Here is a 17,852-nt window from a genome sequence, read left to right on the forward strand (position 1 = left end):
CTACTGGGTAAATAACAAAATTAAGGCAGAAATAAATAAGTTATTTGAAACCAATGAGAATAAAGACACACTGTACCAGAATCTCTGGGACACAGCTAAAGAAGTGTTTAGAGGGAAATTTATAGCACTAAATGCCCACAGGAGAAAGCAGGAAGGATCTAAAATCGACACCCTAACATCAGAATTAAAAGAACTAGAGAAGCAAGAGCAAATATATTCAAAAGCTAGCAGAAGACAAGAAATAACTAAGATCAGAGCAGAACTTGAAGGAGATACAGCATGAAAAACCCTTCAAAACATCAATGAATCCAGGAGCTGGTTTTTTGAAAACATTAACAAAATAGAACACAAGCCAGACTAAGAACAAGAGAGAGAAGAATCAAATAGACACAATAAAAAGTGATAGAGGGGAAATCACCACTGATCCCACAGAAATACAAACTACCATCAGAGAATACTATAAATACCTCTGCACAAATAAACTAGAAAATCTAGAAGGAATGGATAAATTCCTGGACACATACAGCCTCCCAAGACTAAACCAGGAAGAAGTCAAATCCCTGAATAGACCAATAACAAGTTCTGAAACTGAGGCAGTAATTAATAGCCTACTGACAAAAAAGTACCCAGGACCAGACAAATTCACGGCCGAATTCTACCAGAGGTACAAAGAGGAGCTGGTACCATCTTCTTAACCTATTCTAAACAATAGAAGAAGAGGGTTTCCACCCTAACTCATTTTATGAGGCCAGCATCATCCTGATACCTAAGCCTGGCAGAGACACAGCAAAAAAAGATCATTTCAGGCCAATATCCCTGATGAACATCGATGCAAAAATCCTCCATAAAATACTAGCAAACTAAATCCAGCAGCACATTAAAAAGCTTATCCACGACCATCAAGTCAGCTTCATCCCTGGGAGGCAAGGCTGGTTCAACATACGCAAATCAATAAACATAATCCATCACATAAACAGAACCAATGAAAAAAACCACATGATTATCTCAATAGATGCAGAAAAGGCCTTCATTAAAATTCAACACCCCTTCATGCTAAAAACACTCAATAAACTAGGTATTGATGGAACATATCTCAAAATAATAAGAGCTATTTATGACAAACCCATGGCCAATCATACTGAATGGGCAAAAGCTGGTAGCATTCCCTTTGAAAACCGGCACAAGACAAGGATGCTCTCTTTCACCATTCCATTTCTACATACTATTGGAAGTTCTGGCCAGGGGAATCAGGCAAGAGAACGAAATAAAGGGTATTCAAATAGGAAGAGAGAATTCAAATTGCCTGTTTGAGATGACATGATTGTATATTTAGAAAACCCCATTGTCTCAGCCCAAAATCTCCTTAAGCTGATAAGCAACTTCAGCAAAATCTCAGGATACAAAATCAATGTGTAAAAATCACAAGCATTCCTATACACCAATAATAGACAAACAGAGCCAAACTATGAGCAAACTCACATTTACAATTGGTACAAACAGAGTAAAATTCCTATCAATACAACTTACAAGGGATGTGAAGGACTTCTTCAAGGAGAACTACAAACCACTGCTCAAGGAAATAAGAGAGGACGCAAACAAATGGAAAAACATTCCATGCTCATGCACGGGAATAATCAATATTGTGAAAATGGCCATACTGCCCAAATTAATTTATAAATTTGATGCTATTCCCATCAAGCTACCATTGACTTTCTTCACAGAATTAGAAAAACCTACTTTAAATTTCATATGGAACCAAAAAAGAGCCCATATAGACAAGACAATCCTAAGCCAAAAGAACAAAGCTGGAGGCATCACACTACCTGACTTCAAATTAATCTACAAGGCTACAGTAACCAAAACAGCATGGTACTGGTACCAAAACACATACATAGACCAATGGAACAGAACAGAGGCCTCAGAAATACCACCACACATCTACAACCATCTGATCTTTGACAAACCTGCCAAAAACAAGCAATGGGGAAAGGATTCCTTATTTAATAAATGGTGTTGGGAAAACTGGCTAGTCATATGCAGAAAACTGAAACTGGACCCCTTCCTTAAATCTTATACAAAAATCAACTCAAAATGAATTAAACATTTAAACATAAGACCTAAAACCATGAAAACCCTAGAAGAAAACCTCGGCAATACCATTCAGGACATAGGCATGGGCAAAGACTTCATGACTGAAACACCAAAAGCAATTGTAACAAAAGCCAAAATGGACAAATGGGGTCTAATTAAACTAAAGAGCTTCTGTACAGCAAAAGAAACTATCGTCAGAGTGAACAGGCAGCCTACAGAATGAGAGAAAAATTTTGCAATCTGTCCATCTGACAAAGGGCTAATATCCTGAATCCATAAGGAACTTAAACAAATTTACAAGAAAAAAACCAACAACCCCATCCAAAAGTAGGCAAAGGATATGAAGAGATACTTTTCAAAAGAAGACGTTTATGCAGCCAACAAGCATATGAAAAAAAGCTCATCACTGGTCATTAAAGAAATACAAATCAAAACCACAATGAGATACCACCTTACACCAGTTAGAATGATGATCATTAAAAAGTCAGGAAACAACAGATATTGGAGAGGATGTGGAGAAATAGGACACTTTTACACTGTTGGTGGGAGGGTAAATTAGTTTAGCCTTGTGGAAGACACTGTGGCGATTCCTCAAGGATCTAGAACTAGAAATGCCATTTGACCCAGCAATCCTAATACTGGGTATATACCCAAAGGATTGTAAATCATTTTACTATAAAGACACATGCACACATATGTTGCTTGCTTCACTGATCACAATAGCAAAGACTTGGAACCAACCCAAATGCCCACAAATGTTAGATTGGATAAAGAAAATGTGGTACATATACACCATGGAATACTATGCAGCCATAAAAAAAGGATGAGTTCTTGTCCTGTGCAGGGACAAGGATGAGTCTGGAAACCATCATTCTTAGCAAACTAACACAGGAACAGAAAACCAAACCCGCATGTTCTCACTCGTGAGTGGGAGTTGAACAATGAGGACATATGAGCACAGGGAGGGGAACATCATGCACCAGGGCCTGTTGGTGGTTGGGGGGCAAGGGGAGGGATAGCATTAAGGAAAATACCTAATGTAGATGACGGACTGATGGGTGCAGCAAACCACCATGGCACATGTATACCTATATAACTTGCATGTTCTGCACATGTATCCCAGAACTTAAAGTCCAATAATAATAATAGTAATAAAAACAGTGAAAAAGGGGAGTCATCAGTCCAAGCTTTAAATTTATCTTCAGAGCTAAAATTCAGAGCAGATGTTTTTATGCCCTACTCAGCTGACACAGCTCAGACAGGGGTTTGATTTGATCAATCCTATTTGAAATTTGGAACTTCTCCTGTCCACTAAGAATATAAGTTGTGTATCCCTTTCCTGGAGATCTTTAAAAAGTGGTGAGAACTCTAATTTCCTGGGTTGAGGGGGGCTTACGCATTTGGACTTCTGAGAGACCTGACTGTGTGAGGAGCCTGAGGGGAGACAGCAAGACCATCACCCTTCCCATCTGCCTAGAGCCCTTGCTAAACTGTGGAAGGGGTGTAATATTCTGAGTTTAAGAAAGCAAACTGTCTTTAAAAAAGAGCCCCCACTTTTCCCTGGCACAGGGTGCATTTGGAGTCTAGACAAGATTGAATATTATCCCCCAAAATGTATATCCACCCAGAACTTGTAACTGTGACCTTCTGGGGAAACAAGGTTTTTATAGATGTAATCAAGTCAGGATGAGACCATCCTGGATTAGGGTGGGTGTTAAATCCAATATGACTGGTATCCTTATAAGAAGAGGGAACTTCAGACAGACAGACGCAGACATACAGAGACGTCCATGTGAAGACAGAGGCAGAAACTGGAGTGATGCTGCTAGGAGTCAAGGAACACTGAGGATGCCAGCAGCCACAAGAAGCTGGAAGAGACGAGGAAGGATCCTACCCTGGAGCCTTCAGACGGAGGATGGCTCTGGCAACACCTTTTGATTTTACATTTCTGACTTCCAGAACTGGGAGGGCATAAAATCTGTTGTTTTTTTTTGTTTGTTTGTTTGTTTTTTTTTTGAGATGGAGTCTCACTCTGTCGCCCAGGCTGGAGTGCAGTGGCACAATCTCTGCTCACTGCAACCTCTGCCTCCTGGGTTCAAGCGATTCCCCTGCCTCAGCCTCCCATGTAGCTGGCACTACAAGGGCCCGCCACCATGCCCAGCTGATTTTTTTTATTATTATTTTTAGTAGAGATGGGGTTTCACCGTGTTAGCCAGGATGGTCTCGATCTCCTGACCTCGTGATCCGGCTGCCTCGGCCTCCCAAAGTGCTAGGATTACAGGCCTTAGCCACTGCGCCCGGCCAAATCCTGTTGTTTTAAGCCACTCAGTTTGTGGTACTTTGTTATGGCAGCCCCAGAAAACTAATACAGCATCTGATGTGTCCATGTTGGCTGTACTAAGACAGGGCCATTGAGACTTGCCTGGCCGTCTTCTGTGGACAGCTTTCTAGATGCACCTAAGTCAAGTCCCTGAGGCCCACCGAGCCATTATTCTGTTCTGGGTCACCCCCCATGGCCTCACCCTCACTGTCTTGCCTTTCATTAAACATGCACTTGTGAGCGATAAAAAAAAAAAAGAATGGAGGCATTGTACATAAATATTTGATGATATAGCCTATTTAAAATTTAGATAGCATCTTTTCCCACAATCTCAATGATTTCATTTTTTTTTCAGTTGTTAAATCAGCTAAAATTGTATCCAACTACTATAATATAGTATTAATTACTGTACAATATAAGAGAAAATGGAGGCAATAATCATTGAATTGGCATTTTGGATTTCAGGAGACATAAAAATCATTTAACACCTGTTTTATTTTAGAGATAAAAGAACTGAGAACTATGAAATTATCACAGCTAGTTAGCAGAGTTGGAATCAGGAACTAAATTCTCTGTTAAAAAGCAATAACTTTAGATCATAAGTGGTCAACCTGTGCTAGCCATTCTATGAAATTTGTGTACTCTGTGGATAATTTTAAGATTAATGTTGGGTTTTACCTATTCTGGTCATAATCCTATTCTGCTTTTGGTCTACATGGCATCTTTCAGTAAGATAGATCTTCCAACCACCTCATCACATACAGAGTAAAATATGGTCTCCCTTGCTTGCCTTACATACTATTTAACCTCATGTATTGCTACCTGAAACCAAGCACTTAATTCTTCCTTCAGTGAAGTACTAAGCCATGTGTGTAGTCCTAGTTCCCACCCACACGTCTGTCCTTATTTGCTGAACTCTTCCTCCGCTTAATACACTCTTTCTCCAAATCTTCCTCTAATTTATGTGGACAATTCTTATTTAATCGTTGAGATCATGATTTGTTTTTTTTTTTTTTTTTTTTTTTTTTTTCAGAAAGCTTTTTATAAGCTTGACAGAACTTCAATGAACTTGGGCTAAATGTTTCTATTACTGAAAAAATACTTTGTGAATATTTTAATATTAGTGTTTACCACATTATTGGAATATGGTATCTGTCTGTCCAACTATGTTGTAAATTTCTTCAAAGACCAGAAACACTTGGGCTGAAACATCAGTCTCCAACGATTTTTTAAATTGTTCGTATGATTTTCATAACTCCAACCATCTCCTGTTGCTTATGAGTTCCAAATCTCTATGTCCTTTCTGGATCTATCTCTTGAGTACCAAGATTTAATTCCACTGTATCGTGTAAGCAGTTTCCTCATTACATATATTACAATGCACTGAATCATTTGTTTTTAGGTTGGACTTATTTATGTGCCCCTCAGATTATTTTGTATAACTAATTTTTATGTATTCAAGGCATGTACCTGTTTGCTTAGTTATTTTTTAGTAGATTTTATTTTTCAGAGGAATTTTATGTTCACAGCAAAATAGAGTGGGAAGTACAGAGTTCCCATATACCTCCTGTCCCCACACATGTACAGCCTTCCTCAATATCAACATCCCACCTCAGAGCGGTACATGGGTTACAATTGATGAGGCTACACTGACACATTTTTATAACTCCCAAATCCATATCTTACATTCATGCTTACTCTTGGTGTTGTACATTCTATGTGTTTGGACAAATACAGAATGACATATATGCACCATTCATGCAGAATATTTTCTCTGCCCTCAAAATTCTCTGTGCTCTGCCTATTCATCCATTCCTCCCTGCTCTCCTCTGGCAATCAATGATCTTTTCATCATCTCCATAGTTTTGCCTTCTTCCAAAAGTCATATCGTTGAAGTCATACAGTATGTAGCTTTTTGAAATGGGCTTCTTTCATTTAGTAATATGTATTTACGGTTCCTCTATTTTTTTCACGTCTCAATAGGTCATTTCCTTTTCCATTCTATTATCTGGATGTACCACAGTTTATTCACCTACTGAAGTATATTTTACTGCTTCCAAGTTTTGGAAATTATGAATAAAGCTGCTATTGCTTAGTTATTTTTCATAATGCAAAAACACATTATAAATGATTACAATATGCAGAAGTATATATAAAGCAGTAAGTACTGATGTCGTGATCTCTCCTTTCCTCCTCATCTGTATTCCACTCACCACAGATGATCTGTTAAGAGTTTAGTGTATATCCTTCCAATTACCTTCAATGACAAGTTTATTGAATATGTGAACCAGCTTAAGGCCAAAGATGTTACTGAATTTATCCAAAACATGTATTGAGGCATGTAGTAGGCTGAACAATGGTCTTCAAAGATATCAGCTCCTAAACCCTGGAACTTGTCAATGTTTTATCTGTGTTTGCAGTTGTGATTAAGTTAAAAATCTTGAGATGGGGAGACTATATTTTGGATTATCTGGGTGCCCTCTGAATGCTATTACAAGGATCCTTGTAAGGGAGAGACAGAGAGATTACCCAGACTGAAGAAGAGATAGCAATGTGACCACAGAGATAGAGATTGGAGTGATGCATCCACACGTAAGGAATGCTGGCAGCCACCAGAAACTGAAGAGGCAAGATATGGATTCTCACCGACAGCCTCTGGAATGAGTGTGCCATAAGCCATCTTTGGTTTCACCGCAGTGAAATTAATTTTGGATTCCTGGTGTCAGAACTGTGAGTGAAGACATATCTGTTGTTTTAAGTCACTAAGTTTGTGGTAATTTGTTATAGCAATGACTAATACAAGTCCTTACTGTGTTTCTGCACTGGGCCATCTGGTTCAGGTAAAAAGACAAATAGAAAACTGGCCTTGACTTTGAAAACTTTGGAGTAGAGTTTATATGACAGGTTGGTTATGGCTTGCAGGTCTATACACCAGGGTATGGTGCTTTTGCATTTCCCAGAGATGAATAAGGAGCCAGCAGAGATTGTAAAGCAGGGAAGTGGAATCATCACCTTTGTTTCTGAGGGAGATGAAGCAGCTGGAAGCAGAGACATTAATAAGATTATCACTCATGAAACCTGAGGAGAGTTTACACTGTGACCGTGGCAGTAGCACCAAGAAGAATCTTGAGTTTAGGAGACTTTTCTGAAGTAGACGTAAAAATATTTGGCAATTACATCATTTTCGAGTCATGTTACCACGCTGGGCCAAACATCTTGTCCCTAATAACGATTTCTGTAGTGATATTTGGGTTTTTTCCTAACTAAATCACAGCAGTTCTGCATAAAAATATTTTGAGTATTGGCTGGGCGTGATGGCTCATGCCTGTAATCCCAGCACGTTGGGAGGCTGAGGCGGGTGGGTCACGAGGTCAGGAGTTGGAGACCAGCCTGACCAACATGGTGAAATCCCATTTCTACGAAAAATACAAAAAAAATTTAGCTGGGCGTGGTGGCGCATGTCTGTAATCCCAGCTGCTCAGGAGGCTGAGGCAGGAGAATCTTTTGAACCCGGGAGGCGGAGGTTGCTGTGAGCCAAGAACATGCCACTGCACTCCAGCCTGAGCAAAAGAGCGAGATTCCATCTCAAAATAATAATAATAAAAATAAATAAATAAAATAAAAAATGAGTATTATTTTGAAATTTTAAAAATCAGGGATAATATTCTTTTAAAGATATAATTTTTAAACAATCTTTTTCCAAATTCTTGATAGTGTTTATTCTTAATCTATAAAAAAAGAAGTAACACAGAAATTTATATCACACACAACTTTCATCAAGGAAAGATTACTAATATGGTGATTTTATTTTAGCTGAACTCAAATATCACTCGAATGATGAATCAAATTAATGTGAAAAGTCATAACTATCTTAGTATTAAACCTCAGAGAAAAGAATGTAAGATTAAATTAATAGCATTTTAAGTATATATTGATGGAATCATTTTTCCAATAAATAGACTAGTCAGATTAAGAAGCAGTGAGTTTTTAGTGCATCATTATGAAGAATAAGTGCAAATTTTGTTCAAATGAAATGAATAAACATGCAGTCACAACCAGGCTGCTCTGTATTCCTAGTAATAATTACTATATAAAAGGTTAATAAATGTCAAGTAAAAGCAGCTATGACCTGCCTAAAGGTTAAGCTGAAAACAGCTAAAATGGAAAAAAAGAGAGTGCAGATTATTACGTTTATTGACTGACACTGGTTCTTAGAGAACAGACAATTCTGGAATGATTAATTGATAATTAAATTTCAAACAAGTACCTTTAACCTCTAAACATGAAGATAATTCAAGGTCCCTACCAGACTCATACTGCCTATTAATGTACTTCCCTTCACCCTGTTTTCTGAGAATTAGCAAAGTCTGTGGCTAGTTTTTTTTCTGAGTATCTTCACAACATGTTGAATTAATGAAGAAGATATCCCCAACTAGATCCTCAAGGCACAGGGTTGGGGCAGGCAGGGCACCAAATGTCACTCTCCTTTCTAAAATCTAGCAGAGATTTCCAGAGTGGAAATGATGCCAAACATTTGGCTTGGGATATAAGGTACTTTATGATATGAATCTGCCTTCATTTTTAACTTTCTTTTTCACAACTCCTTCCAAATCCCATACTGCAGCTAGTAAACTACTTACTGTTCCCCCACTAATGCCACAATTTTGCCTGTACCCAGAACACTATGTCCCTTCTTCAAAGGCTGGGCCAATTCCTGTTTATGCCTCAGGATTCATTCAGGCTGCCTCTTCTGGAAAGTGTTCTTTGATCCTTCCAGGTAACATTTCTTTCTCATAGCACTGAGCACAGTGCACCCTCATTTTAGGTTTACTCATGCCTCTCCCTTGCTCAACTGTAAGGCCTGTTAGGACAGATGCTGACTCATATGCTCTATATATCAAGAATATTTATAGCAGAGTGTTTTGCCCCTGCCAGGTGCTTGATGAATGTTTGTTGAATAAATAGATTCCTTAAGGAGTAAAGAGAAGATATTCAGTAACAAAGGAAAGAGGAGTAGCCTTTTTGTTAATTTTGGCTGAAATCTACATTTATAGCATAAGTTTGTAAGAATATTTTTCAGTGAAAGGACACCTACTCATTTACCTATTGTCAATTGATGGCCTTTTTTTCCTTAGTGCAGTAATTGGAAAATAATCACGTAGAGCTACGGTTTGCTTTGTACCTTCCTATGAAGTCAAACCTGTTTAGATTTTTTTTACCTGCTACTTCTTTCTAGCATGGCTATTAAAAAACACAATCTTTTTTCATGACATTGAACAGCCTGCAGGTATTATTTACTTATTTATCCTTAGCACAGAATAATAACAATAAAAATGCAATAACAAATGCATTAGTAGAAGTTCATGTTAGGTATATTAAAATATATACAGTTTTGGTGGTGCCTTGTTGGGAAATGCCCTTGCTTTATAATAACCCTCATTATCTACCAGAAAATAAGTACAATGGGGGAGGGGGTGTGAAGTCCAAGAGAAATCAAATTACACTTAATTTCTCTTAATAGCAAACAAGAACATTCGGCTTTTTAAAAATAGCACACAACTTTCCCATATATTTAGAACTCAAGCAGATCTTAAGGATTGAGGCTGTGCACACGCACAGCAGAGCTTACAGAAGTCCCAGGTCACTCACCTCTCCCCAGCTGACAGAACCTGCACACAGGTGTAGAGGAGATATCAGAGAACTTGGTGAGGAGTTAAAAGCAGGGAAAGAGTGAAAAATTATGTAAAGTTTAATGTGCTTCACATTCATACACAGATCCATCAGCAGAAAATGGAAGGCTTATTGGCTTGAGGTGTTGGAGTGAAAGCTCTGATTTTTTTTTCTTTGCTGAATGATAAGCTATACAAATACAGGAATGACCTACAGGAAGGCAAGCTTAAAAATAAAACAACAACTGAACAAAGATATTGGTAGCTGCACATTCTGGAGGAGACAGACGTCATAAATTTAGGCAAGTTTACTAAACAAATGGAAGAAAACAACAACCGTGAGGTGGAAAATAGAATCCAGAGTTGCTACAATATATCATATAAAAAGGCCAGTACTCAACAAAAAAAGTATGAGACCTGCAAAGAAACAACCTGTGATACATATTTAGACTATAGAAGTCGTCAGTAGAAATTATCTCTGAGTGTCCTCAGATATTAGATATAGCATACAAACAGTCAAAAGCAGCTGTTATAAGTATGTCCAAATAACTAAAGAAAATTGTGATGGCAACCACTTAGTGAATATAAAACCCCAGTGAAGAGTTAGAAATTATTTTAAAAATAGAGAATCAAATGGAAATTCTGTAGTTGAAATGTACAAAGACAAATAAAAAATGCACCAGAGGGCTTCAACAGAAACTGAGATGTTAGAAGAAATAGTCAATAAATGTGAAGATAGACAGAGATTATCTAAACTGAAGAATAGAATGAAAAAGGATTGAAGTGAAATAAACATACTGTTCGAGATGTATAGGATAATATGAACTATACAGACACATGTGTAATGCACCGAGGAGAGCAAATAAAGGCCCCTAGAACTTTTTGAAGAAAAAGTGGCTAAAAACTTTTCAAATCGTATGAAGAATATAACTTTACAAATCCAAGAAGTTTAATGAACCCCAGTTAGAATAAACACAAAATTATCTACAACTAGACATACAATAGTCACTGTTGAAAGCTAAATCCAAAGAAAAAAACTTGAAAGCAGCAAGAGAAAGCCAACTCTTCAAATATAGGGAACAAATATTACTAATAGCTAACTTCTCATTAGAGATAATGGAAGCCAGTCAGCACTGGAATAAGATACAAGTTGAATATCCCTTATCCGACATGTTTGGGATCTGAACTATTTCAAATTTTGGATTTTTTGAACTTTGGAATATTTTCATTAGACTTACTGTTCAGCATCCCTAATCCAAAAACCAGAATCCAAAATAAGTTTCAGATTTTGAAGCATTTCAGATTTTGGATTTTTATTTATTTATTTATTATTTAATTGAGACAGAGTCTCACTCTGTTGCCCAGGTTGGAGTGCAGTGGCACAATCTTGGCTCACTGCAACTTCTGCCCCCCTGGTTCAAGTGACCCTTCTGCCCCACCCTTCTAAGCAGCTAGGATTACAGGTACCCACCACCACACTTGGCTAATTTTTATATTGTTTAGTAGAGATGGGGTTTCACCAGGTTGGCCAGGCTGGTCTTGAACTCCTGTCCTCAAATGATCTTCCTGTCTTGGCCTCCCAAAGTGCTGGGATTACAAGCATGAGGCACCGTGCCTAGCCCTTGGATTTTTAGATTAGGGATAGTCAACTTGTATTCACATTGCTGAAAAAACCAAACCAAAAAAAATTCTGATTGTCAATCAGAATTTTATGCCCAGCAAAAACTATTTTTCAAAATGAAAGTGAAATAAAGACATTATAGATAAATAAAGACTGAGAATTTCTTGTTAGTAGAAATATTAAAGGAATTCTTTCAGGCTGGCAACTTAAGTCCTCAGGAAGAAACAAGTGTACTGGAAATGGTAAATGTGCAGCAAACAAAGGGATCTATATTTTTTCTCATTTCATCTTTAAACTTCTTTAAGAGAAAATAAAATTGTATAAAGCAGTAATTATAACATTGTATTTTTTGGGTTACAACATATAAATGTATATTATGTATGATAATAATAATGAAAAGTTTGGGAGGAAAAAAGCTATAAAAGAGAAAAGTTTATAATTTTTATTGGAATTACATTAGTATTCTGAAATAGATTGTGGTAAATTAAGATGCACATTGTAATCCCTAAAAAACACTAAGAAAATAATACAAAATAATATAAAAAATCCAAAAGGGAATTCAAATAGTATGCTAAAAATATTGACTGTAGAATAAGGCATAAAAATGGCAATAGAGCAAGAGTTTACTGAAAGAGGGGCATGGGCGGTAACAGTATATGAATAAAGATGTAGGTTGCTTATGGAGGTTTGTTGGAAGTTCTCTTCTGATTATGTATACCAGGGTAATTGGCTAAGCATGAAGTAGGGGAGAAGGTGCTAGGTGTTAGAGAAGAAAGGAGAAGTACTAAATGTCACCTAGGAGAAGGAAAGAGTGAATAGCTTTGGGAAATTTAAGATTTTGGAGGTGCACTAAGGATCCATCAGAAGTTGGTAATTATGAATTTAATGCGCAACCAGTTGTCACAGTCATATATTTTTTGCCAGACTAGGTCAGCTTTACAGGTGTAGGTGCAGTGGAGGAGAAAGAAACACAGATTTGAGGTTATATGGAAGAATGAACATATTGATCAAATATGGAATCTAAGCTGGGAGTGGAATCTGAGCTCATGAGGAAGAAAAAATATCCTTCACGCTAATACATGTGAGGGGTAGGAAGGTCATCAAGCTGGAGATTCAGGGAGTTGAGAAACAATGTGAGCAAAAGCATAGAGTAGAAATAAACACAATATGTAAAGGAAAGGAATGAGTTAGACCTGACTGATGTGATAGGTATGGAAAGGGAAATTTGTAAGAATAAAATTGGTTAGGGAATATAGACTGAAATGGCACTTAGGTACTTAACTTCATTGTTTCTCTAGTTTATCTATCTAATAATCTTTGGTGGCAATGAGGCCTAACCTGAACCTATGTCAAATGGAATACTCTTCCCTTGCTACCCCTGCCTTGTGAAAGCACTTCTCCTTCCCTTTACCCTAGTCCCCCTACCCCGCTACACTTATAACTTTCTCATAACTTACCAATTTATGGTTTCTTTTCTACCCCTAGGATGTAAGCTCCATGAAAGCAGGGATGTTTTGTCTGTTTTATTCAGTCTATAGAACAGGACCCTGGATGTAGTCTTCCCCAATAGATATTGATGGAACGCAGACAGGAGGTATCCTCTTGTGCAGAAATAGCTATCAGGTGAGGCAGATTAGAAAATGGACATGGTCAATGACTCCAATTTAGTCTCACTGTGTGAGAAGGACACACAAAAGACTGTAGGTAGAATCTAAGATGTTCTGAAAAGGTGAAATTATACAAACATCTTTATTTATAACCCTCGATTTTGTCCTTTTCTACATATAGCCCTCCTCCTGCCAAAAGCTTACTTTAAGGCAAAGATAACTAGCGTTGCTCCAGTCTTATCCACTGTTTATTTTTCTATAGCTTTTCTCATGTAGTGTCTTAAATATATGAAGAGTTCCATTTGTAATCATGGCAGCCAGAAGTGGGCCTGCGAGGCTCAGCTCTCTTTTCTGCTTGGCTGGGGCCCTGTGTCTCAACTGTCCTTGCTTCATGCTCTTGGAGTAGTAAAGGATGTGCAGCTTGTGTTTCCTCTGAATGACTCCTTGACCCGAGTTGTTTCCAGTAACTCAGTCTGATACATTTATTTCTCATATTCATCTTAATACATTCTTACTTTGACTTACCCAACCTTTTTTTTTCTATCTTCACACTATAGTGACCCTTGTTATGACTTAGCAACTGATGATATAGCAATGTATCCATGCCCGATAGCTCCCAAGATTAGCAGTTTAAGCATAGGTTAGGGTTCAATATACCTGGAAGCATGCACACTCAACCTGGGAAAGCAGTGTCAGGCCTTCGGCTCCTCATCCTGGATAATAGGGGAAGTCTTTCAAAATTGATTCAATGCTGTAGAAAATGGTGACCTTCCAAATCACCTCTGGGAAGATGAGCAAGTATTAACTGGGAACTTAGGCCAGATAATGGGACTCTCCTCTCTGCAGTTCTTGGGGAAGGAACTGAGAGGTGTCTGTCATGAAGCCATGGAAAGACGAGCCTCAGGGCCCTTCACTTGCATAAGTTTTGCCTGGAGAAGCAACAGGCATTTTGTATTTGCTATTCTGAATTATTTTTCTTAGAAGCCTCTCCAAATTGCAAAGCTTCAGGGACTGACAAGATCTAGATCTGGAAGAAATTTTTGTATGAGTCAAACCAGACAAATTAGAAAGGCCTCTTTTGCATCTGTGGTAAAATACACATACCATAAAATTCACTGTTTAAACCATTCTAAAGTGTATAGTTCAGTGGCATTTAGTACATTCACATTGTTGTGCAACTGTCACCACTATCTAGTTCTAGAATATTTTTATCACCCCAAAGGAAACACCATGCCCATTAAGCAGTCACTCGTCATTTCCTGCTGGCTCCTGTCCTCTGCGATCACTAATCTGCTTTCTGTTTCTATGGGTTTACCTAGTATGGATGTTTCATATAAATGGAATTCAACATGTGGCCTTTTGTGTCTGTGTCTGGCTTTTCTCACTTAGCATGTTTTCAAGGCTTCAAGGCTTATCCATGTCGTAGCATGTATCAGTACTTTGTTCCCTTTTATGTGGAAAGGCCTTTAAATAAAAGATCATTTTAGAGAGGATGTAGCCAGTTAAATAAGGGGATTTCTTTTTTTTTCTTTTTTTTTTTTTTTTTTGAGACGGAGTCTCGCTCTGTCACCCAGGCTGGAGTGCGGTGGCACAATCTCGGCTCGCTGCAAGCTCTGCCTCCCAGGTTCACGCCATTCTCCTGCCTCAGCCTCCTGAGTAGCTGGGATTACAGGCGCCCGCCACCACGCCCGGCTAATTTTTTGTATTTTTTAGTAGAGATGGGGTTTCACCATGTTAGCCAGGATGGTCTCCATCTCCTGACCTCGTGATCCACCCGCCTCTGCCTCCCAAAGTGCTGGGATTACAGGCGTAAGCCACCGCGCCTGGCCAAATAAGGGGATTTCAGGAGTAAAATTTAATAGAATGACTCAAATACTATCAGCGGCACATTTTATGGTACTGTATTGTGTTAAATTCTCTAACCCAGTGGACTAGAATTTGCCTGTCGATTTTGATCTTTACACTGATTCCAACCAAACGATCATGGCTAACCTGTAAGCTTTTCTTGACATATACCTATTCTGCTCAGAAATAATTTTGTGTCAGTTGTCTCTCCTACTCCTATCCCCGTTATGGCCTTTCTTGTCTGGGTCAGCATCCAGACTAAGCTGGATAATTGAAATTCCAGAAAAAAACATTTCTCCTGATTTTAGTGAGGACATTTGAAAATAACCTACGTGTTGCTCAATCCCTGAAGCTCATTTGAATGTCTGCTCTTATATTTAAAAAGCAATGTATGCCACCTGGAAGCAAAAAATAACTGTAGTTTGCTAATGTTGTCACTATGCTGCGTCAATCTCTAATTTGTTATAAAATGTAGGAAGATATTTCGAGTAAGAGGGTGTCTACCTCAATTCTTCAAAATTATACCCAGTTTTCCTTGTTATGAAGCATAATTACTTTACAAAGCTATAAAATGCCATAAAGTTTTAGTAATTCACTTAGCATTTCATTCACTATATTTTTAGTCTACTGTACTGCAAAGGTTGAAAGACATTTTATGTTTTATCTGAGGTGCCATCCACAAATTACGGCACCTATTATGCAAATAATGCCTGCAAAAGAAGTCTGCTGCATTTATAATAGGGCAGCTTATTAGAATTTGGCTTGATTTTCTTTATACCTTGCTTCTCATCTCTTGCTATAACTGTGTCCATTGTCAGTGAGATGCTAGTATAATCTTCATGTTTATTCAAACCAAAGCCTCTAAATACATACATTTTAGATTTTGGATTCAAATGATGGCCTAGTTTAGTTTCTGTGTTAGAACTTAAGTATTCTGTATTTGCACCTTACTGAACGCTTTTGAAAAGCTTTTAGTTCTAATGTTACATTTTAGCATTATTTAAAATTTCATAACATTTTACTTATATTAGCTTTGCAAATCTCCTGTATTGCTTGGGTAACAGAGGTATGATAGTAAAATCAGCTTCTATCTGTTTAGCTCATTGAGAATGATGAGGGTAAAACTGTTCCCAAGGAGTGAAAACTGTTTCTTGCTTTTATACATATATATAAAAACACAGATATACATATACTATGTAAACATATATTCGGTATATTGATCATATTGAAATATCTTGGATGGGTCAGTTAAGAAAAAAAAAACCTAAAAAAAGGACCTGGAGGGGAGCAATAATGAAAAAACAATAGACTGAGGAACACTGGTCTAGCTCTTTAAAGTTTCATAGTGTGTTTATCCTTACTACTTCTTTTGACAGGAAAGCCAAGATTGCATAGTGTGTACACAGCAGATCCATGCCTGGACTCTGGTGTTCTATTTCCATAACTGTGCTTCTCCTGCTGTGGCATGTAGACTTAGACTAGGGCTTGATGGGCTCTTGCAAGGAAGAAATATCTTCCTTGTTACCTTTTCTTTCAGGCCTAGTTTATAAATTAAGAATATTGGGTCCTCAAACTTATCAAGTTTATTCGTTTTCCCCTTTCTTTCTAATATATGTGAGGCCTATACCTCTCCTTTGGCTTAAGTGGGGCCCATATATCTCTAGATTTACAAAGGCCATGGATAAAGACAAGTGTAGACACATGGCTGTGGGAGTGAGGGGATTGCTTCTATCCCCCATGATCCAAATCACTTTGGATCTTCAGGATCAAGGATTCCTAAAGCTTTGAGGTACTCAATTTTTGTCTCCTTTTCCTCTTTCTAACCCTCAAGATCTCCTAAGCCAGTTTCTGATTTTAGTAATAACATGGTCTCTAAGAACCCATAGATATAGCCCTTTTCTGTGTTCCTCTTTACGACAGTCCAAATATTTTAAACTATCTCCTCTTAGCATAACTTGAATATATAAGTACCAAGGCATTCATTTTTTTATCTGTATAAATTTAAGGGACAAAAGTGCAGTTTTGTTTCATGAATAGTGGTGAAGTCTGGGCTTTTAGTGTATCTACCACCCAAATAATGTATGTTGTTCCCATTAAGTAATTTCTCATCTCTTACTCCCCTCTTACCTTCCACCCTTCTGCAGCTCCAGCGCCTATCATTCCACACTCTGTGTTCATGTGTATACATTATTTAGCTCCCACTTATAAGTGAGAACATGTAATATTTGCCTTTTGTTTGAGTTGTTTCACTTATGATAATGGCCTTCAGTGCCATACATGCTGCTGAAAAAGACATGATTTCATTCTTTTTTATGCCTGAATAGTATTGACTGTATATATGTACACACACACACACACACACAAACGTATATATATATATATATATACGTTTGTGTGTGTGTGTGTGTGTGTGTGTGTGTAAATATATCTGTCTCAGTCTCTATCAATCTATAACATTGGCCAGTCATCACATGATAGACAGGTTGATTCCACATCTTTGCTATTGTGGATAGTGCTGTGATAAACATACAAGTGCAGATATCAAATGTTTAACAAGCATATGAAAAAATACTCAACATTGCTAATCATCAAGAATGCAAATTAAAACCACACGAGATACCATCTTATACAGTTAGAATGGCTATTATTAAAAAGACAAAAATTTAAAAATGCTGATGAGGATGCAGAGAAAAGGAATA

At 37.7% G+C, this 17,852-nt stretch overlaps 1 protein-coding gene across 2 annotated transcripts in view; it reads right to left on the reverse strand.

Annotated features, from left to right (window-relative positions):
- The window catches only part of EYS (eyes shut homolog), a 1,987,247-nt gene that overhangs the window by 170,513 nt on the left and 1,798,882 nt on the right, over positions 1 to 17,852 (reverse strand). The gene's annotated exons all lie outside the window — the stretch shown is intronic.

Source organism: Homo sapiens, chromosome 6, assembly GCF_000001405.40.
Source record: "Homo sapiens chromosome 6, GRCh38.p14 Primary Assembly".
NCBI classification, from domain to species: domain Eukaryota; kingdom Metazoa; phylum Chordata; class Mammalia; order Primates; family Hominidae; genus Homo; species Homo sapiens.